Genomic DNA, 21,980 nt, shown 5'->3' on the forward strand with positions numbered 1-21,980 from the left:
TCTTCAATGTGCTTTGTCCACAACTGCTGCCATGTTTTAGCTCCCCATTACGTTTCCTGGGATGCTCTCCTAGACTCCTCTGTACCTTTCTTCTTTCAAACCCAAAACAGGTCCCATCTCCTTAGTCTTAACTGTCTATGAATGGTCTGTTGCCTCACTTCCCAGCTCTGGTATGTAGTACGTGCTCAGTACACATTTTTGAATGCATTAATTTGGCTCTTTTCTGTGAAGGCAGCTTGTCTGTGTGTCATTCATCTGCCCAAATTTGATTGTCAACTTCCTTTGTATGGAGCTGTACTGTTCTTTTTGTTGTTTTTCTTAACTCCTTGCCCCTGCCTCCCATCACCCCAGTGGAAGAGTTATAGTCAAGGTAGTGTAGTCAAGGTCGTGCAAAAGCTACACACTTGAACCTGTTCCGTGTGGTTTCACACAAGGCACATGGCCTCCTTGGGACTCACTTCACATCACTCGACAAGGGGATAGCAGGACCCACCTTGACTGTATTGAAGACTGCATGATGATCAGGAGAGAGTGAGGGATGAGAAAGAGTTTGGAAAACAGCAGAACACGATGCAAACATGAGTTATTCATGGTTTTGTGTCCAGGCTAACTGTGCCCTGACATTAAGGCTGGGTGGGTCTGGCCCAGGGCTTCTGGGGTAGGCGCTGTGCTGGTGTGTGCTACTGACCTGGAGTCCAGGATCCCTGAGTCCCACTCACCCTCCCTGGGCTGCAGTTTCCTCAGCCCAGCTACCCTTTCCAGCTGTGACTGCTGGTTGTGGAGCTGAATGTGTGTGGGGTGTGGGCCTGTGTGTGGACTCCCCACCCCTGTGCGGTTTTCCTAAGCACATAGCACAACAAGGAGCTGGAACAGAGCTGCAACAATGAGGAGGGTTTCCTCCAACTGTCAGTGCTTCTGGATCCACCGTTTCGGCTTTGACATTACCGTGAGTGACCACCCTGGACCTCTTTCTTTGTGCCAAACTCGTTGCTGGATTGCCATAAACACTTACTTGGATTGATTAGAGAGGCTATTTGCCGTATTGAAGGTGGCAGAATTATTTCACCTTTTCCAGAGGTGTTGACGTTCAAGGGTAGTTGGTGGTGACTGTACAGAAGGGAGACAGGAAGCCTGGAGGAAGGAAAGGGGTGCGTAGCCGAGAAAGTGCACAACGGGCCCTATTTTTAAAAGTGCCTGCCTCTGCTGGTTTTGTTGTGGCAGCGCTCAAAGGCAGGAAGACAGATAAGATCGGATTTCAGGATTTTCGTCTGCCCCCCATCTCCGCCCCCAACTTTTGACAACCAAGAACTTTTCCCCACCAGGAGTGGGTATATTTCAACTTCTGTAATCCCTGCGTCTCGCACAATGCTTGGTATTACAAGGTGCTCACTGAGTGTTTGAATGAATGAATGCCTTCCCAGTTCTCATCACAGCTATAGGGTGTCACTGTATACATCAAGTCATGGTTAGCCGCAGGTTTGATCGGGGAAGAGACACTAATCAATGTATCTGATTCTAGAAGAAGATGGAGCTTCTAGGAAGGGCCTGCCCTCAGGCTGTCCTCTGTGTTCCCCGGCATTCTGCATTTTGCAGTCACCCCTCATTATCCCTGAGTCCAGGAACACCTGAGATTGGAAAGGATTCCAGCCCCATAGGGCCTTTATCGTGGCCCCCAGTAAGTGATAAATATTCGTACTAATTTGGGGCAGTGTCCTTTTTCCAGCTGTTTTCCCATGAGTGCCCTCTGTTCCGTCAGGTGGCCGAAGACGGATAACTTTGGCAAAGGGCTTGGCACAAATGGCCAAGTTTACACTGGATCACTATACTCCGTGTTATCTTGTTTCCCCGATGGTCATTGCCACACAAGAAAGTACTTCCTCTGTGGGCTTTGCCCACCCTCTTCTCTTGACAGAGACCTCTGGGCCTAGATAAATGTATAAACTGCATTGCAGGAATGAAGCCGTTTCCATTAAGAACTGGGGTCTATGTCCTGGGATCCAGTTCTTCTCCCCCTTTTAGTACTGAAAGCTGCTTCCCATCTGAAAGCTGTCTGGGGACAGACACCGTGCAGCTGCGTGCAGACTTCTTTCAGAGTTTGATCTTGCAGGCTTCCCAGTGGCTCTGCTCTTCCTTGTCTGCTTCCTGGGGGTCTCTCAGTATCAAAGCCACCTGTGGCTCCATCTCACCTCCCTGAACAGGAGGCACTGTTTGTCAGGAGGCCTTGCCACCTTTGGCCCTTTCTTTCCAAAGAAAGATCCCTGGCCTGGAGTTTTTGTCTCAGCTCTGTTGTGTGACCTTAGGCAAGTCAGTTGACTTCTCTGAGCCTCAGTTTACTCCTTAGTAAACAAAAAGGTTGGATGAGGCGCTCTCCAAAGTTCTTGCCCTCTGTGTCCTTCCTCTGCGTTCTACAGGGAGGGAGTAGCTGCCTCTGTTTGGTGGTGGGGACTCAGGCAGGATGGGTAGGGAGGGGTAGGGGAACAAGATCATGGCGCACCTCCACGGCCACAGTGGAAACCTTGAACCTTGAGCTGTATGCGGTGAGTCCAGGATGCTGAGAAGATGCCGGGCTGTTGGGTAAGCAGAGCCCCTACGGGAAGCAAAGAGTATTATTCAGCCCTGTGGAATGCTGAGGCAGGGCTGAGCTTGGGCAGGGTGGCTGAGAGAATTGTGGCTCTAGCTGTGGGCAGAAATTCATGGCCTTGAAGAATGGCTACTGTATATACCAGTGATAAATATTAGTCACTCTGGCAGCAGAATGAGTTTCCTGTGCTGCATTTTTGGCACTTCCAGAAAAGGGAAAGCCTTTCTCTCTGACAGGGCACAGGAGGGAGAAACAGGAATGTGTCTCTTACCCTGATGCCCTGGCTGGAGATCCCGTGGGGTTTTCAACCTGCCTGAAGCAACGCAGGGCCTGCTAATGCCTCCTGTTGCCCTAGGTCAGGCCAGGGCCCATTGTTGACATCTGTGCTGTGCTGCCTCTGAAGGTCTTGCTTGAGCATGTCCTGAATGGAAGGCTTCATCTGCATTCATTCCCCGGCCCTCCCTGCCGTCTGCACAGCCTCCTCCAGGCCTCCCCTTCCCAGTGAAAAGCACCACCATCCAGACCTCAGGAAGCAATCATTTTAGCCTCTTCTCCTTCTCCCTCACCATCCAGGACATCACTGAGCCCTGTCAGTTCTGCCCCCAGAATATCTAAGTTCATCCAATGCCCCATTTCCACTGCTGCTTCCTCACCCAAATCAGGATGTTTCTGGCCCCGTCTCCCTCCTACCTGGTCTCCCTGCCTGTACCCTCCTCTCCACTGGGCCCATTCTCCACCGGCAGCCAGCATGATCTCTAAGAAATGTACATCTGTCATCTGTCATATCTGCTGAAAATTGTTCAGGGCTTCCTGCTGCCTTGAGAATGAGGGTCTGAATCCCAAACAAGGGTTCAAATCTCAACCTCTCAGGCCTACCCTGACCTTACGTATCTTTCCTCAGGGCCTGTGCACATGCTGTTCCTTCTTCCTGGAATGCTTGTCCCCATAGTTTTCAGCTGGCGAATGTGAGTCAGGTCTCCCCTTAAATGTCATCTAAGAGAGCCCTTTCTAATTCCTCCCCTTCATCTTAACTCTATCCCCAATACACTCTCTCACAGAGACTGTTCTTTTCCTTCTGAGACCCTACTCCAGCTTGTAGTTCTAAATCTGTGATTATGCACTGTCTGTCTTCCTCTTGAGGTCAGGGGCCATTTCTTTTGTTCTCTGCTATGCTCAGGACCCAGATCAAAGGAGCTCAGTAACTATTTACAGGCGTACATCATATGTGGAGGACACTTATGCTGTGATGGCCCCACACACAGCTTCCTTTGGGGTCTGTCCCCTGCTCTCCGTTACCCGCGTGGTAGCCACTGAGCACTGGCTCTTCCTGGCTTCACTCTCTGGCATCAAAACTTATCAGTCCTACATCTCAGTCTTTTGCAAGGTGACACTTATCTGATTACCTAATTCACACGAAGGTGTTAATGGTGGTAATGGCATAGTATTTATTACCCCAGGGGACCCAGAACGGTGGTATCAAAACATATCATTCCCCAGTGGTTTAAAACTCTGGTAGCTTTCCAGGGAGTCCAAGTGGAGTCCAGTCTCCTTAGCTGAGTTCACAGGGCCCCGTCTGCACGACTTGGCTTCTGTCGGCTTCCCTAGCCCTGACTTCCCAAGCCTTAGTCATCACCCTCTCTCCCACCCAGGGCTCAGCACAGTACCTGGAACAGTCAAGCCCTCAATAAATGTTTACTGAGTGCATTAAAAAAAAAAAAAAGATTTTAATGAGTCATGCTTTAACTGAAGATTTTAGTGTAGTCAGTCATTGGGCCTTGGATGCCAAAGGAATGACAAATGGTGGGAATTTCAGGCACAGTGACTGTGATAGCCCCAAGGAAACCAAGAGAGAAGTAGCTTTATCTGGGTGGAGGGGAGTGGGCCTTTCAGAGCCTCGAAATCTTCCCACCTGCTGCGCCACTCCCACCACATAAGCACCCCACCCTTCTTCCCAGGGTGAGATTTCTCAGCTCTGCTTTCTGGGGTGCCAGACAAGGGGAGAGCCTTGTTGCCATGCCCTCCTGCCCTCCTGCCCTCCTGATGCAGTCTGTGGTCACCTGCAGGCAGAGACAGATGAAGTCCGTCATTCGGCTGCGAGTAATTTCTGATGGGAGAGGGGCTTCCCCCGGCCCTTCCCGCCTCTCTGAGCCTTGCCACGGTCACTTGGTTTGCCCAGCCTAAGTCACTGCCTGTCGCTGTGGTTATTGCATGGACAGGGCCTCCCTCTGTCCCTCCACTTCCCTTCCCTGCCCCATACTGTTGCCCTCACCCACCCCAAAGCCTCACCCTTCCCTTCCATAGGGATATGGCCTGATAGAGGAGGAGCCATTTGATTTTGACTATTGTTGAAATTGAGTGGGGAATTTTGGGTTTGTTTTAGGTTTTGGAAGGGAGGATTATCTGAGGCTTGAGGCTTCTGTGATACTGACATCTGGTGTGGAAAGTCATCCTCCCTCACCTAGGTGACTGGGCCTCCAGGTCATCTCCCCGAGCAGCCTCCCTGGATCTGCTCTCCTCTCCCCCCCACCCCCCCACCACCTCCCGCGCTGTGCCCAGGGTGATCTTTCTAAAGGACAGATCTTGCTTCAGCACCTCCCTGGTTAGAACCCTTCCGTCCAGTGGTTCCTAGTGCTTCGGGGATAACTCGCCTTGTCCCTTGGGGTCTGCACAGCGTCCTCCATCTCCTCTCACTTGGCCTTGCCCTCGGGGGCTCCGGTAAGAAGCTTTCCAACCTGGCAGCTGCAGACTCTGTGCGGTTGTATTATTGCTGTAAATGGGCAGGGATTACGCATTTGTGGAGTGACTGATTTCAAGTACAACTGCCACCATGGGAGAGGTCTGTGAAAATCACTGGAATTGAAAATGACCATGCTTTGCCCAAAAAGGTTGAGAATCCCCACTCTGATGATACTAGAAGCCTGCTTGCCTCCCCACCCTGTGCCAAGCCATTTCTTGCCTCCTTGCTTTGCCCATACCAGCCTGGAATGTCCCAAGCCTATTCAACTTACTTCCTCCAAAACGTAGTCCCATCTTGATCTCCAGGAAGCAGCCTTCAGATGCCCCCTCCTCCTGGCCACTGCAAATGTGTCCCCCCAGCTGCTGAGCATGCCTAGGTCTGACACACACCACGATATGTTGAAATCATTGGTTTCTGGGTTATTCTTCTCACAGTCCCAGGCAGTGAGCCCTCAAGGACAGGGGCTCCATGGGACTGGTCTCTGGGTCGGAGGCCAGGACCCAGGTCACTAAGGGCATGTCACTCATCTGGACCACAGCTCCCTGCCTTGTGGTGTGGACTCTGTTCTCTGCACTGGGCTCGTTCTAAAACGGAGCATTTGGTCCTTGCAGCCTGCCTTGTGGTTTATGACTTAGTAGATTGAAAATGACAGTTGTGCTCTATTTTCATTTGGAAAGAAAAAAAAAAGTGGAAAACCAGAGATTGCACTGATCTGGAGGTAGAGAGAAAACTGTGGAGATCAAAGAAGATATTATGTATTATGAATGTTACACAGATCAAGGCATGTTTGAAATAGGCTTAATTTTCCTCAAGTTGGCTTTTGTCTCACAATTGAGTTCTTGTTGACGAAGACCAGTTATTATTCGTCTTCGTGTCTCTGGAGTCTAGCACCTAGCACGGTGCCTGATAAAGCATGGTCACTTCACAAATACTTGTCGAAGAATGCATGGGATGAATATGCATTTGGGTATTTTTAATGCTTGATGATTAGAACATTCTCATGGCTTGTTAACTTGTAAGACATAATTTTCATTGTAAGTTCTTTGTGTGTGCAAATGCTTTTTGTGTGGAATGCTTGCCATGCACTGAAAAATGCTTTGTGATAGCAGTTTTGAAAAATTGAGTCATTTTGCCCTGATTGAAGCTGGGTGACCTTGTGCAAGTCACTTTAACCCTCTGGGACTTGTGGCCCTCATCTGTAAAATGGGTAGAAGGTCAGAGTGGACCTCGTGGCCTGAGAGGCTAGTACCCCATGCTGCATGTAAGTCTTACATCCTCCTCTTTGGTGATTGGATACTGACCCTCTCCCCAGGGGTTCCTGCACAGAGCTGGAATTCTCTCTGGTGTCTTTGCATTCTAGTGGGTGGAATGCCTTGTTTCTCAGTAGCAATGAGAAATGTTAATGTGAGGTTATGAAAGCAAGCCAAGAGCCATGGAATAATTAAAACACACACGCACACAAAGAAGGAAAAGCGAGAGGGGGAAACACACTTAATGGACAAGGGATGAGTAAAACCCAATGGACTGAGAAAACCCCAGAGCTGAACTTCACATGACCCCGCGTGCTGCCTGCAGTTGCGACACCCGCGTGCCCCTTACGCTCCGCCGGCCTCTCAGTGATGTCAGTGGGCCATGGGCCCCACAGGAAGCAGGGGCTGCCATCAGCCTGGTGGAGCGTGCCAGCCCGCTCCTCCTCCACGGCCCACTTCCCACCCACCCGGGTCTCCAGATAACATGAAGCCATAGCTCCCAGGCTCGTCAGCGGGGGAAACCAACTCAGTGCTTCTCAGAAAATAGAACCCCAGCCCATTAGTGATGTCCACGCAGGCAAGAGATGACCAAGAAGAATGTTTGCCTTTTAGGAGTTCTCTGCCTGAAACCAGCAGGTTTCCTTTAGGGATAGGGTGACTGTGCTTGCTGAACACCTCTAGGTCGTCAGTGAATGAAATAATTCATTCTGTGCTTGAGTGTCTAAGACCCAGGGGGTTTAGGAATAATTAGGATACTGGCTGTACCCTTGGAGTTCTGTGCTGCTTGGGGGATACGACTCAAACTCACAGACATCTGTGGCTCAAATCAAGGCATATAGATGCAGTGACTCTTGGAACATTCGAGGGAGAATCACCACCTCTGCTGGTGGAGGAAAGGCCAGGAACTGCCCACCTAGTTTTCCCATGACCCCAGCCTGTAGCGGGATATGTCAGAAGATTTGGATTTAGAGGAACTTGGGTTTGACAAAATAGAAGTGTATGTATATAAACAGAGTTGGGAGTGATGGGGGATAGGATGCTGACAGCACCTTGGTAGTCCCTCCCCCTACGTGACAGTATTGACTTCATAGTGTTGTTGTGAGGCTTGAAGAAGATACAAGAGGGAAGAGGAGCGTTCCTTGCCGTGCAGATGCAAATGCTCATTGTTACTTGTTCTGCCTCTCTGTGTCTGTGACATCCAGCCCTGTGTGGGCTACCCTGGTTGCAAAGTGGGCCTCCTGCCGTTGAGCAGCTATGGTCCAGTGGGCAGGTACACCACAGTCATGGAAGCCTAGTTAAATCATTACATAATAGTTAGCTCTGTATGACCAATCTTTTCTTTAAAGAAATTCTTCCTTTTGGAATAATCGTAGATACACAGAAAAACTGTACACAGATAATACAGAAAGTTCCAGTGTACCCCTGACCCAGATGTCCGTAATGTTAACATCTTGTATTACCATGGTACACATGTCAAAACTCAGAAACAACATTGGTACATTACTAGTAACACAAGTCCAGACTTTATTCAGTAAACCTTTTGAAAAATAATAGCTTTATTGGCATATAATTCATACACCATAAATCTGCTCTTTTAAGGGATATGATTTAGTGGTTTTTAGTGTATTAATGGAGTTGTACAACCATCATCACTATCTAATTTTAGAACATTTTCAACACCACAAAAAGAAACCTCATACCCATTAACAGTCACTTCCTGCCCATCCCCCTTAGCCCTGGCAACTTAGTCTACTTTCTGGTTCTCTGGATTTGCCTCTTTTGGACATTTCATGTAGATGAAATCATACAATTTGTGGACTTTTGTGTTTGACTTCTTTCACTTAACATATTTTCAGGGTTCATCCATTTGTAGCATGTGTCAGTACTTCATTCCTTTTTATGGCCAAATAGTATTCCAGTGTATGGATATACCACATTTTGTTTGTCCTTTCTTCAGTTGATAGACATTTGGGTTGTTTTCACTTCTTGGCTATTGTAAATAATGCTGCTACGAATATTTGTGTACAAGCTTTTTTTGTGGAAATGTGTTTTCATTTATCTTGAGTAGATACCTAGAAGTAGAATTATGGGGTCATTTGGTAGCTTTGTTTACCTTTTTGAGAAACTGCCAAATTGTTTTCCAAAGTGGTTGTGTGGTTGTACCATTTTACAGTCTCACCACCAATGTATGAGGGTTCCAGTTCTCCCCATCCTTGTCAACACTTGTTATTGTCTGTTTTATTTTAGCCATTCTAGTGGATGTGAGGTGGTATCTCATTATAGTTTTGATTTGCATTTCCCTATTGGCTAATGATATTGATCATCTCTCCTTGTGCTTTTTGGCATTTGTGTTTTTTGTTTGTTTGTTTTTGAGATTGAGTCTTGCTGGGATGTCCAGGCTGGAGTGCAATGGTGCCATCTCGGCTCACTGCAGCCTCTGCTTCCTGGGTTCAAGTGATTCTCCTGCCTCAGCCTCCTGAGTCACTGGGATTACGGGTGTGTGCCACCACACCTGGCTAATTTTTGTATTTTTAGTAGAGACAGGGTTTCACCATGATGGCCAGGTTGGTCTTGAACTCCTGACCTCAGATGATCCACCTGCCTCAGCCTCCCAAAGTGTTGGGATTACGGGCATAGCCACCGCACCTGGCCTTCCATTTGTATATCTTGTTTGGAGGAACATCTACAAATCCTTTAGCCATTTCTTTTTTTTTCTTTCCTTTTTTTTTTTTGAGACAGAGTTTTGCTCTTGTTGCCCAGGCTGGAGTGCAATGGCGCCATCTCAGCTCACTGCAACCTCCGCCACCTAGGTTCAAGCAATTCTCCTGCCTTAGCCTCCCAAGTAGCTGGGATTACAGGCGCCCGCCACCACTCCTGGCTAATTTTTTGTATTTTTTTTTTTTTTTAGTAGAGATGAGGTTTCACCGTGTTGGTCAAGCTGGTCTTGAACTCCTGACCTCAGGTGATCCACACGCCTTGGCCTCCCAAAGTGCTGGGATGATAGGCGTGAGCCACCACACCCGGCTAGCCATTTCTAATTGGGTTGTCTTTCTACTGTTGAATTATAAGAGTTCCTTATATATTCTGGATATAAATTCCTTTATCAGATACATGGTTTGCAAATATTTTCTTCCATTTTATTTCTTTCAATTCTGTGGGTTGTTTTTTCACTCTCTTGATGGTGTTTTTTGAAGCACAAAAGTTTTTAATTCTGATGAAGCTAAATTTGTTTTACTTTCGTCACTTTTGCTTTTTGTGTTGTATCTAAGAAACTGTTGCTTAATCCAGGGTCACAAAAATTTACTCCCTTGCATTCTTCTAAGAGTTTTATAATTTTAGCTCTTATATTTAGGTCTTTGATCCATCTTGACCTGATTTTTGTATAAGATGTGAGGTAGGGGTTCAACTTCATTCTTTTGCATGTGAATATCCAGATGTCCATGCACTGTTTGTTGAGAAGAATGTGCTTTCCCCAGTGAATTGTCTTGGCACCCTTGTAGAAAATCATTTGACTGTAAATGTAAAGGTTTCTTTTTGGACTCTTAAGATTCTCTTTTATTGATCCATACATCTATCCTCATGACAGTCTTGACTACTATAGCTTTGTAGTATTAATCAACTTTTAAAATATATATATATGTGTATATATATATATATATATTTTTTTGAGACAGAGTCTTGCTCTGTCACCCAGGCTGGAGTGCAGTAGTGCGATCTTGGCTCACTGCAAACTCTGCCTCCCGGGTTCACGTCATTCTCCTGCCTCAGCAGCCTCCCGAGTAGCTGGGACTACAGGCGCCTGCCACCACGCCCGGCCAATTTTTTTTTTGTATTTTTAGTAGAGACGAGGTTTCACCGTGTTAGCCAGGATGGTCTCGATCTCTTGACCTCGTGATCCACCCATGTGGGCCTCCCAAAGTGCTGGGATTACAGGCATAAGCCACTGCGCCCGGCCTTAAAATATATTTTTCAAAATCTACATTGTTCAAAAAAAGAATCTGTGGTAACTCTCAGAAATCCAATAATTACAATAGTAAATACAAGTAAAGATAGACAAGGAAATTAGGGGAGAAGACAAGAAAATAGGAAAATAAGATGACATAAGAGTTAATGTTAGTACAACAACTAATATGTTGTAAGGTTTGTGAGATTGTTGGAAGTAGCCTGCACATTTGGCCTTGAGCTTTCTAGCAGCCAAGGGTAAAATGGAAATGTGACTAATGACAAGATTAACACAGATGTCTGAAAGATTGTTTAAAAAAATGTCCCCACCTCCAATATTTTCAGGGACTGAAATATAAGCATATTTCTCCCATAGATCCTAGGAACCTGAGCTTCTCACGCACAGGATCATTTCATTTGTGTTAGTTCTTTCCCTTTAGACGAATAGCTCTTTGAGGACAGTAACTGTGTCTTATTTCCCTCACATCTCCCTGTAGTGCTTAGGACAAAGCATGGGAGATGCTTACAAAATCTTGATTGAATTCTTTTTCAAATTGGGAATGTTTATTACATTCTTTGGCAGCATTTCTGCCACCAGGTTGAGGTTAGTTGGGACCAATTTGGCGGTGGAGAAGTGGCAGGGGCTGCCCTCCTGGATGCATTTTAGAAGTGTTTTCTTGCATCATGCTTCCTGAGTGCTGGCTAAGCAGTGGAAACATTGGGCAGGTGGGGTTGTGTGCCCTTGCCCTGAGAGATGGCCGTCACTTTGGAGTGAAGGTAAGCAGCATTGCTTCACTCATGTGGAACCCACCCGCCTTCCCACCTCCTCAGCGCTGGAGGGTCCTCTCTCTCGCCCACTCCCTCTGACATGCCTCTGAGACTGCCTGCCCGATGGAAATATCCAGCATGTATGAGGGAGGTCCTGGCCAAAACTGAACAGCTTCTCATGGAATTGGGCCCCTCATCACCTACGGTTATGTGTGGCGCACAGATGGCCACTCTGCAAAGAGGCCCACCCAGATAGCTCCCTCACCGGGGGCAAGGAACAAGCCACCTTCAACTGATTACATGTCATATTGGGTGGACCTCTTCGTCCCACACCCAATAAAGGGCTTTACCATTTTTCAGTAGCATCCTTTCTTAAGAGAAACAAAAAATAGATTTGAATACCAGTCTTTAAAGGGGTAGTTGTCATTACTTCGCAGTTGACAGATGGGGAAATGGAGGTTCAGGGTGCGTTACCTGCCTGCTCTAAGTCATATGGTGAGTGGGTTGCGAAGACCTGACTCCAACCCAGAGAATCTTGACTTTGACTTCATCCTCCCCTCCTTCCACCTGCCAGTACCCAGTCTTTATCTAAATTTAGGGGGCTTGAGAGGCCATTCTTTCTATTTTGGGTACCTTCAAACAGGTAAGCACAGTTTTCTTTGAAGTTACCTCTGCCTCCATGTGGGAGAGTATCAACAAACAGTTCCCCCTTCCCCCTCCAAAAGCACTCTCTGCACAGTCACCCCTAGGCCAGGAGCAGCCTTGTAATATGCCACACATGTTGTTACTGCCTGTGGCTTTTCACACCTCCTGTCTCAAATATTGGAGCTTTTTTGGCTACAGCCCTGTGATGAAGGCAGTGTGGGTGCTGTTGACCCTATCTTACCCATATGGACACTACATCATCTAGGGTCACCCTGTTGGTTGGGATCTGGAGTAAGCCCAGAGGCCAGGATTCTGACTTCTGGTCCAGTGCTCTGCCCTAGGCCTTGAGCAAATGTGTATCAAGTTGCACTGACAATCTTTGAATTCCTGGAACTCATGCCATGAGCACTTCCAGGAGCACCTTAGTGCTTCATTACAAAGATGATGAGACGTAGGAAAGTCTTTTTTTTTTTCCCACGGAAGCAGAATCTCACCCACACCCGCAGATTTTGTTGTGTCCCTTCAGCACTGAGCTGTGTTCTCAGAACAGAACAGGTAGAATAGAGTCAAAATGCAAACAGAATGGCCTCCCTCCACAGTCTGCTTTGATGGAAATGTGATGCCAAGCAAACAGAAAAGTTGTTTTGGCTCCATCTCTGAGGTCATTTAGTTGCTATTTCCATCTACTTTGAATCCACATCTGCTGTGTGCTCAGAGCCGTGCTGGTTGCCAAAGAATCCAACAAGAAAAAGGCATGGCCCCCTTTGGGGCGCTTGGGTCCTCTCGCAGTGCCCCAAGCCCAGGTGAGAGACATGCCCTCTGGGCCGTGATTCCCTCATCAGTAAAGCAAGGAAGATAATGTCTGGTTAACCACCCTCCTGGAGTCATGGCAAGGCTGATACAGATTCAGTGGCATTAACTCATTTGTTCATTCAGCACATTTTACTGGCAACTTATGCTGTGCTGGGCTCTGGATATAGTAGTGAGCAAAGAGGAAGCACTCACAAGGGTAACACTGCAAATGCTAGGAGTCATGCATGAGAAGTCCAGGGAGCCTGATTCCATTTGAGCAAGGGGTGGTGGTCTGGGAAGGTTCCCCCAAGGAAAAGACATAGGAGCCAAGACCAAAGGGTGGGTAGGAGTAATCAGAAGAGCATGTCTCTCATCTCTGGACTTCTGTAGAGAGACTTCTGTAACCACTGTACCCTCTGGAAGTGGGTACAGAAGTCCAGAGATGAGAGAGATGTTTAACAACAGAGAGAAATCCACCCGAAGGACTTTTTACATCTCTCTAACATCTCCTGTTCAGTTTATCTCAGCTGGCCTTTGCTGAGCACCAGTTAGTTGCCTTGTGCATCCTTGGGTGATGGATTATGGAGATGGCAGTGGTTGACACTGTCTGAGAGCAGCTCCCAGATAAACCAGCGCACTGTGGTTGATGGGCTGCCTCCAGGTAGAGAGTGAGGCCCTCCAAGCACATCCTGGCCATCCACATCTTCACATTTGCAGTGCCTAGCACACAGTGGACAAAAGGGATATACTGGACACGTTGTCCTAGGATGCAGATTCCTACCAGGCCTTCAAGGCTTGTAGAAATCTTCCCTAAAACTGATCATGTGGCCTCCGGTAAGGAATCTAAGCTTTTGAATCTTGGATCCATCTCGGGCACAGGGATAACGGTGGCGCCCATCTCACGGGGTGTGTGGACGTTGTCTCAATAATGACTGACGTGCTGAGCAAGTACCTGGCTGGAGAAGCGTGTGGTAAAGGGGAGCAGCTGTGATTATTATGGGTATCATTCCTAGTGGTTCTGCAATTAGTCTTGACAGTAAGTGCTGCAGGACTTCAGACAAGGAGAGGCTACAGGTGTGGAAGTGCTCCTCAAAGCCTGTGGGACCTAAATGGGCACAGTGAAGGAGAGTCTTAGGTGGAAGCAAGAAAACTGAGCATCAGGAAGGGAGCAAGACCCTTGGTGATGGGGGTATCTGTTCTGCATGGAGGATAGATGACTTCTCAGCCATTGGGAAACCAGCTAACCAGCTTTCTGCTTGATGGTTGTAGTAAAATCCCATGATTAGTGACAATGGCATGCCAGGTTTGAAGAGCAAAGGTCAGGAGGTGAGAAAGCAGATAAATGCAATGTTTATCTTGAAAGAAGTTGTCAACTACTTGGAAATCCCCAAGCTTACTTCCTCCAGGAAGCCATTCTGGACTACTTCACCCAGTTCTCATAGCTCCCGGGCCCTCCATCTTCCCAGCACTGAAACACACACTGAAAAGGGCATTTTTCTAAATATGTCTCTGCCTCCCCTTGTGGAGGGATGTGGCTCCTTGAGATCTGGGGTCACGGCTGGCGTGTTTCGTGGAGTAGCTAGAAAGAGTAATAATCCTTTTTGAATGCACAGCATTTACAGAGGCCTCACAGGCTGAAAATGGTAATTAGGATACACAATTGGGTCTTTTGACCTCAAATCCAGGCATTTTCCCACCTTGTGGGCCTCACTCAAATGATGACCCCAGGTTCTGCCTGTGATGAATGAGCAGGCATGGTTTTGTTCTGTTAGGATATGACGGTAGAAGAGAGCTGTTTGTCAGAACCAGCAGTGGCTTCAGATCTTGAAAGTCCAACTCCTTCATTTTACAGAGGAGGAAACCTGTGCCCCAAAGCAGGTCCCCCCAAGTTCCAGCCCAGTGCCACCCCACTGCACAGAGCAGCTGTCTCCTTTTGATCATGAGGAAGCCACCAGGTCCCTGGTGGAGTTCAGCAGATGTGCCGGGTGGGCGACTCTGGTGGGTGTGAGGATGTTTCCTTTCCTGCTGGGAAGTCCTCCAAGCTCTTGTGAAAGAGATGTGGTTTGTCGAGCATGGATTTTCAAACTTTCTTTATAGAGAGCTGTTGTTAGCTTAAAAATGCCTGGAAACATGATCAAGTGTAATGTTTTAATGATAACATAGAAGCACATAGTACTAAGCACATGTAATGAGAATGTACAGAACTCTCTAGTAAGAGTCTGAAATTTGGCCGGGTGCAGTGGCTCATGCCTGTAATCCCAGCACTTTGGGAGGCCGAGGCGGGTGGATCACCTGAGGTCAGGAGTTCAAGACCAGCCTGGCCAACGTGGCAAAACCCCGTCTCTGCCCAAAATACAAAAATTAGCCGGGCGTGGTGACGGGTGCCTGTAATCCCAGCTACTCAGGAGGCTAAGACAGGAGAATTGCTTGAACCTTGGAGGTGGAGGTTGCAGTGGGCTGAGATCGCACCGTTGCATTCCAGCCTGGGCAACAGAGTGAGACAATGTCTCAAAAAATAAAAAAGAGAGAGTCTGAAATTCATTCTTTCAACATGCTTGTGTTGGGTGCTGCCTGGCACAGCAATTGGTGCCCACTAACTCACAGCGTCGGGGAAGATAGGCACGGAACAAGTCATCTGGTGTGGTCCCTGCAGTGGGGGAGCCCAGTGAGGGCCTGTCCAGCCCAGCTGAGAGGAGACTGAGAGAAGGCTAGGTGGCATAAGTAAAGATATGGATAGCGCTTTCCTCTTCAGAGTGTTTATTACCAGGGTTAGATAAAGCAGATCTCATGTATTTTCTGCTACTAAGTAGAAGTTCTTGTTTTGTTTGATTTCTGGTGGGCTTTGATATTTTCCAAAAAGATAATAACTCATTGTAGAGTAAGATCAGGACTGGGGCCAGCAGACTTGGGTCCAAAGGTGTGTCATTTTTATACCAGACTAGAATCGGGTGAGGGGAGATGTAAAGAGATCACTATTGTCACGGAAGGCGCTGGAAGGAGCTCTGCTTAGAAAAAATGCCTTTCTCTAGGAGGTTTTCATCCAGCATGGGAACACAAAACACCAGTTTAAAATAGCTAGGTAAGGCTTCACAGTCTCTCAATGTGATGTGGGTGTCCTGAGTCGTGAACATCCCATTGTGCAGGATAAAATGCTGGTTTCTGAGCTGTCTTTCAAGACACAACCCAAATGCTGTCTTTGCCATGGTGCCTTCCTTGGGAACCCAAGCCAGGTGAGGTCTGCCTTTTCTCTGATGTTGCCTAACTTTTCCTCTTTGTGTCCCTTGAGCTCAGGGACATGCATCCCCTGTTGTACCTAGCACAGAATCATGCACAAGCAGGTGCTTGTTAACTGTTGGTGTGTACCAACAAACATTTACGGAGCACCTATTAGCAGGAGCACAGGCCAAGGAGCTGGATAGATGAGCGTGGAGTTTGGGGGAGAGGTCTGAGCTGAGATATACATTTGTGAGTCATCATTGTATGGATGAGGCCGGGCTGGGGAGGATATGAGCGTAGAATGAGAAGGTCCAGACCTGCACCTGAAGAACAGCCCCATTTAGGGAATGCAGGGAGAGACAGAGGAAAAGCAAGATGGTGCACAGTGACATTGAAGGTGAGTGACGAGACCCTGCAGCAAGAGGAAAGGAGCAGCAGTGCTAGATGTTGCAGAGAACCCAGAATGGTAAGGCCTGAAAACCATGTGTTTTAGATTCTGTAACCTGGAGGCCACTAGGTGACCTTAGCAAGGGCAGTCATGATGGAGTGTTGGGGCTGAAGCCCATTGCAGGGAGGCCCATAGTCAATGGGAGGTGGGCAGTAGACACAGAGAGCTGGGTTATTCTTGCCACACAGCTGTGCTGGGGCCATGGCGGGGGTGGGGGTGCCACAGAGTGGGAGCCAGAGAGGGACCTGGGTAAGGGCTGACCGTGGGTGGGGAGCGCATGGAGTGCTTTCAGAGGCCAAGTGAGTGGAACTGTCTATGAAGCAGATGGATGGAACCCTGGCTGAATTATCTCAGACTTGCCAAAGACATTCATAAAATTCAGACCCGCACACACTCGGGAATGGGAAAAATGAATTATTTTGTAAGAAGCTTATAGTCCAAAGGTAGAATTGCCCAAGAGAGCTTCTGAAAGGAAAAAGTCATAGCAAGTTGATATTTTTAAAGTGAAATAACATAGGTTGGATTTTTCTAGTAACTTCAAGGGGTAAAGACTTTGAATTTTTTTTTTGGAGACAGAGTCTCGCTTTGTCACCCAAGCTGGAGTGCAGTGGTGCGATCACAGCTCACTGCAGCCTTGACCTCCCAGGCTCAAGCAATCCTCCTGCCTCAGCCCCTCAGGTAGCTGGGATTATAGGCACACGCTACCACGCCTGGCTATTTTTTGTATATTTTGTGGAGGTGGGGTTTCACCGTGTTGCCCAGGCTGGTCTCAAACTCCTGAGCTCAAGCGATCTGCCCACCTTGGCCTCCCAAAGTGCTGGGATTAAAGGCGTGAGCCACTGTCCCTGGCCAAGACTCTGGGTTTAGTAAGCCTCTTGCAACTCACTAGGAGTGGATTTCTAGGACCTCCCCACTTTCTTGCTTGTTGTTTCTTTTGCTAGCCGTAAGTCCCTGGAGTACACTGGGTACTTTATGGGAAAAAGAGGAACAGTGTGGGACAGACTTTGCCCTGGGCTGCTTAACGTGATGTGGGGAACAGAGGTGATAAGAGCCTGTGGCAGCTCAGGCAGCCCTGCCATGACCTGGAGTTGGGGAGGGGTATCAAGGATAACAAGTCTTATACACATGCCATGCTGTTTCTTTGGATCAATAGATGGATAATTTTTAAAACCCCCTGTATGTATCAAACTCACTTTGGAGATGTAAGGCATGGCCTCTGTCCTGGTGACAGTATCTGAGTGGGAGGCCTGGTAAAATGTCTGTGTTTAGGATGATGAACGCCATAATCTAAGACTGCTAAGTGCTGTGGGGTGGTCTAGAAGGGCAGATGGGCTAGCTGCGAGGAGGGCAGAGGCACTGTGCAATGGTGTTGCCTGGGAACACTCCGTGGAGAGTGTGGGAATCTCACCCTGGCCCTACCAGGTAAGAAATTGGGCCTGGGAAATTGGGAAGGGAATTTTTCAAGCTTCATGGCTGCTCCAGGACTTGAACTAAGACTTTCCTTTAGAGCAAGCTTGTCCACCCTCTGGCCCGTGGGCCGCATGTAGCCCAGGAGAGCTTTGAATGCAGCCCAACACAAATTCATAAACTTTCTGAAAACATTGTAAGATTTTTTTTTTGCGATTATTTTTTAGCTCATCAGCTATCGTTAGTTAGCGTATTTTATGTGTGGCCCAAGATGACGACTCTTCCATCGTGGCCCAGGGAAGCCAAAACACCGGACACCCCTGCTTAGAGAAAGTGCGTTTTCTGTTATAAAAGGACCTTGAATCCCCATCTCATATGTTGGGACTTTGTCTTGCATGTTTTCAGGCAGGGCATGATTGTATCTGTAACATAATAATATGTAAGAATGTGTACTTCTTAGCCTTTGCAGAGAGGCGGGAGGCCTGTTTCCTGCAGCCCCCGCCCTGTCCTGGCTGAGGGGTGGGAGGCAGCTTGCTGGCCAGCCCCGCTGAGTCACCCTCCGGCGTGGAGCCCAGTGGGGATTTCCACGCGGCCCCAGTGTTCTCTTCTCCTCGTTTCCTGTTGGGCTGTGACGCAGGCTGGCTGCCAGCGGGTGCCGGTGGGCACTCCTGACACAGGCCACTGCCAGCCGGCCTTGTGGGTCCTGAGGGCATCGTGGGTGGCTCTCCCCCCACGAGTGACTGTGCCTGGCAGGGTGTGCCCCACATGTCAGTTGCACTCCGTTCTGGGTGGGCAGCTCCCAGAGGCCCCGGGGAGGGCTGCAGATGGGCGGGGGGTGGCTGCCTGGGAGGACGGGAGGTTTTGTTGAAGAGAGAGCTTGCTCTTGGGGCAGTTTGTACTGGGCGTTTAGGGTTATAAAAACCTAGATTTGCTGAAAACGGCTCTCTTTTATCTTCTGACAAGAACATTTGTGAAGAAAACAAAACAGACCTTCAGCCATTTAGTCTATACACCGAGAGAATGGTTTCTACAGTATGCCTGATTTCTCTGGGTCTTTCTAACACATCCATGTATGTGCTTGTCAGCTTCTAGTGCCTCCATTTCTTGATATGAGGAAATTTTGCTTAAAAAAAAATCTCTACTGATAGGACCTCTGCATATTCATGCATGTTTTTCCTCCAGAACTTTGTGTCCCACCACTGTGCTAGGCAGTTTACAAATGCCATCTGATTTCATTCCTGCCACTACAGTCTAAGGCTATATTGTCCGATACCTATCCACCACCCTCATGTGGCTATTTAAATGTTGGGTCATTAAAATTAAATACAATTACAAATGCTGTCCCTCAGTCACACCAGCCGCATTTCAAGTGCACGGGTAGGCTAGTGGCCATCAGATCAGCTCATATAGAGCAGCACGTTTTCATCACCACCAAAAATTCTATTGGGTAGCACTGGTCTAAGGTCCGGACATATGTCCCCATTTTGTAGATGAGGAAGCTGAGTCCTACAGAGGTTAAGTTGACCACTTAGAAGAATGAACAGATGAAACCTTTTCATTTTACACATGAGGAAACTGAAGGTTATACTCCCCTTTCCTTCTTAGAAAAGAGAAATTGATCTGTAGGCTTCAGGGACTCTTCAGTTAGCCTGGGGGTACTGTGCGGGTCAGCTCTTTTGCTGTTCCCCCCAGACCCTGTCAGCTGTGGGTGGTGGCTGGTTTCTCTTGGTTTCCTCACCAGAGTTTGGGAATGAGCAAGTCAGGACTGCTTTCCGTACGGTAATCCTTTGGCCCATTTCCTATCGGGGGATTTATGGAGCTGGTGATCTCTTGGGTTTTTTGGCCATTTGTTAGAGCCAAAAGAGGTCACAGGAAATGATATACTAGTTTCATTGCCCAAAATACTGAGGTCCAGAGAGGTGAGGGGATGCTGAGGGTCTTGCATCTAGCTAAGAGCTGAGCTGGCTCTTAAACTTGTTTTCAAGCCAGGACTTACCTGACTTTCTTAGGAAAGTAATCACTCCATAGACAAGGATAGGTTTTTTTCACAGAGCAATGATGTTCCCTGTGGTCCCTATGTAGGGTGGTAAGGAATAGGGCTTTGGGATCCTACAGACCAGGGTTCAAATCCTGGCCCCACCACTTGTAAGTTATGGGACTTCAGACAAGGACTTAAACATTCTAAGTCCTCAGTTTCTTCATCTGTAAAACAGGGATAAAATATCTCAGTGAATTTGTTTTAAATACTTGCGTCCGGGCATGGTGGCTCATGCCTGTAATCCCAGTACTTTGGGAGGCTGAGGTGGGAGGATCGCTTGAGGCCAGAAGTTTGAGACCAGACTGGCCAGCATAACAAGAACATAACAAGATCTCATCTCTACAAAAAATTAAAAATATTAGCTGGGCATGGTGGTGTGAGCCTGTGGTCTCAGCTACTCGGGAGGCTGCAGTGTAAGGTTGCTTGAGCCAGGAGTTAAAGTCTGCAGTGAACTCGCCACTGTACTCTAGCCTGGGCAACAGAGTGAGACCCTGTCTCAAAAAAAAAAAAAAAAAAAAAAATCAGCCAGGCGCAGTGGCTCACACCTGTAATCCCAGCACTTTGGGAGGCCGAGGCGGGTGGATCACCTGAGGTCAGGAGTTTGAGACCAGCCTAGCTAAAACATGGTGAAATTCCGTTTCTACTGAAAATACAAAAAATTAGTCAGGTGTGGTGGCACACGCCCGTAATCCCAGCTACTCGGGAGGCTAAGGCAGGAGAATCGCTTGAACCCAGGAGGAGGAGTTTGCAGTGAGCCAAGATTGTGCCATCGCACTCCAGCTTGGGCAACAAGAGCAAAACTCCGTCTCAAAAAAAAGGAAAAAAGAATTCTAACATGTTTGAGATTGACTGCAATTCCTAGCATATTACAAGTGTTAGTAAATAGTAGCCATTAATATTATGAGCTTATCATCACCTTCAGCCAGCATTCTAATTTTACAGTATAGAATCCAGTACATAGGAGGCACTCAGATAGACGGGATGCCCCAAAATTGGGAGACGGACAAACTTATTTTGAAATAGTCTTTTTTTGACATTTCCAAAGAATATACTCAATGTTTTTCTGCAACCCTTTGCCTTCTTTTTAGGTGAAGGACCTCTACATTTAAAGCAGTGGGTTCAACTGCTAACCTGAAAAGCTATAATAAAACATCCCAGAGTATCCAAAAAGCCTGGAAACAAAGGGAAAATAGTGTGTCCTGCTTTCCAACTTTCGGATATGCTGTAGAATAGACTGAAACAAATCACTGGAAAATAGGTTGTTGTCGATTTTATTTAGAAGCTTTTGTTCCTTTGGATTTTCGTCTCTTATTTTTAGACAGAGTCTCCCTCTGTCACCCAGGCTGGAGTGCCGTGGTGCAATGATAGCTTACTGCAGCCTCAAACTCCTGGGCTCAAATGATCCTCTAGCCTTGACCTCCTGATTAGCTGGGACTACAGAAGCAGGCCACCACGTCTGGCTAATTTTTGTATTTTTCTGTTGAGAAGAGGTCTTGCTATCATGGGCAGGCTGGTCTTGAACTCCTGGCCTCAAGTGATCCTCCCGCCTCAGCTTCCTGAAGTGGTAAGATTACAGGCATATGCCACCACACCCAGCTTTTTTGTTCCTTTGAAAGAAGGCATTGCTAATGATTGCCCTGAGGTGTCTAGATGACCCGGCCAGCCATCCACCTCTGCAGTTTACACAGCTTGTTGATCTCCACAGTGAGAATTAACTTCACAACCTGGGTCCAAGAGGCTGGAGGATTGTCAGTCTTTAGAAAAAAAAAAATCTATTATCTTTAGAGAAGATGGACTTGTTGAGGAAGAAGAGTAGACAAATACTTTCTGGAAATATTTTCAAAGGGAATTAGAAAAAGAAAAAGATTTTGGTTGTCCTTTGGTGAATGAGAATATTCATCAGCAGAATGCCTCATTACCACGTCACACAGCTGACCAAGGCCTCATCTGAGACTGTGTTTGAATAGAAATTAAACAGGGCTGACAGTGAAGTTTCTGCTTTTAATTAGCTTTCAAAGGTACACCTCTACCTGTGATGTTGAAACATCTTGAAAAACCTCTCTGCTCTGTGCCTGAATGAGGGGCATCTAGAGGGCTTGGAAGAGAAGATGTGGCACAGGGCAGCCGGGGAGAGGCTGGTGGCCAGAAGATGGACC

The 21,980-nt window shown here is 47.6% G+C and overlaps 1 protein-coding gene across 5 annotated transcripts in view, besides 5 other annotated features; it reads left to right on the forward strand.

The window, feature by feature from the left end:
- SMAD3 (SMAD family member 3) overlaps window positions 1-21,980 on the forward strand; it is a 129,568-nt gene that overhangs the window by 37,265 nt on the left and 70,323 nt on the right. The gene's annotated exons all lie outside the window — the stretch shown is intronic.
- Window positions 2,971-3,670: an enhancer, noted in NCBI's record as "H3K27ac-H3K4me1 hESC enhancer chr15:67398175-67398874 (GRCh37/hg19 assembly coordinates)". NCBI's record gives its function as "activates a minimal SCP1, AML or CMV promoter by ChIP-STARR-seq in naive H9 embryonic stem cells {active_cell/tissue: H9 hESC(naive)}" and the evidence as "EXISTENCE:reporter gene assay evidence [ECO:0000049][PMID:30033119]".
- Window positions 3,923-5,122: an enhancer, noted in NCBI's record as "P300/CBP strongly-dependent group 1 enhancer chr15:67399127-67400326 (GRCh37/hg19 assembly coordinates)". NCBI's record gives its function as "activates an origin of replication core promoter dependent on BRD2, BRD4, P300/CBP, MED14 and CDK7 cofactors, with strong dependence on P300/CBP, by STARR-seq in HCT116 cells {active_cell/tissue: HCT116}" and the evidence as "EXISTENCE:reporter gene assay evidence [ECO:0000049][PMID:35650434]".
- Window positions 4,025-4,319: a silencer, noted in NCBI's record as "tiled region #14539; HepG2 Repressive non-DNase unmatched - State 14:Gen5', and K562 Repressive non-DNase unmatched - State 8:EnhW". NCBI's record gives its function as "represses a minimal TATA promoter and a strong SV40 promoter by Sharpr-MPRA in HepG2 and K562 cells {active_cell/tissue: HepG2 | K562}" and the evidence as "EXISTENCE:reporter gene assay evidence [ECO:0000049][PMID:27701403]".
- Window positions 17,233-18,090: an enhancer, noted in NCBI's record as "H3K27ac-H3K4me1 hESC enhancer chr15:67412437-67413294 (GRCh37/hg19 assembly coordinates)". NCBI's record gives its function as "activates a minimal SCP1, AML or CMV promoter by ChIP-STARR-seq in primed H9 embryonic stem cells {active_cell/tissue: H9 hESC(primed)}" and the evidence as "EXISTENCE:reporter gene assay evidence [ECO:0000049][PMID:30033119]".
- Window positions 18,069-18,508: an enhancer, noted in NCBI's record as "active region_9624". NCBI's record gives its function as "activates an Ori minimal core promoter by ATAC-STARR-seq in GM12878 lymphoblastoid cells {active_cell/tissue: GM12878}" and the evidence as "EXISTENCE:reporter gene assay evidence [ECO:0000049][PMID:35858748]".

This window comes from Homo sapiens, chromosome 15 (assembly GCF_000001405.40).
Source record: "Homo sapiens chromosome 15, GRCh38.p14 Primary Assembly".
In the NCBI taxonomy this organism is placed as follows: domain Eukaryota; kingdom Metazoa; phylum Chordata; class Mammalia; order Primates; family Hominidae; genus Homo; species Homo sapiens.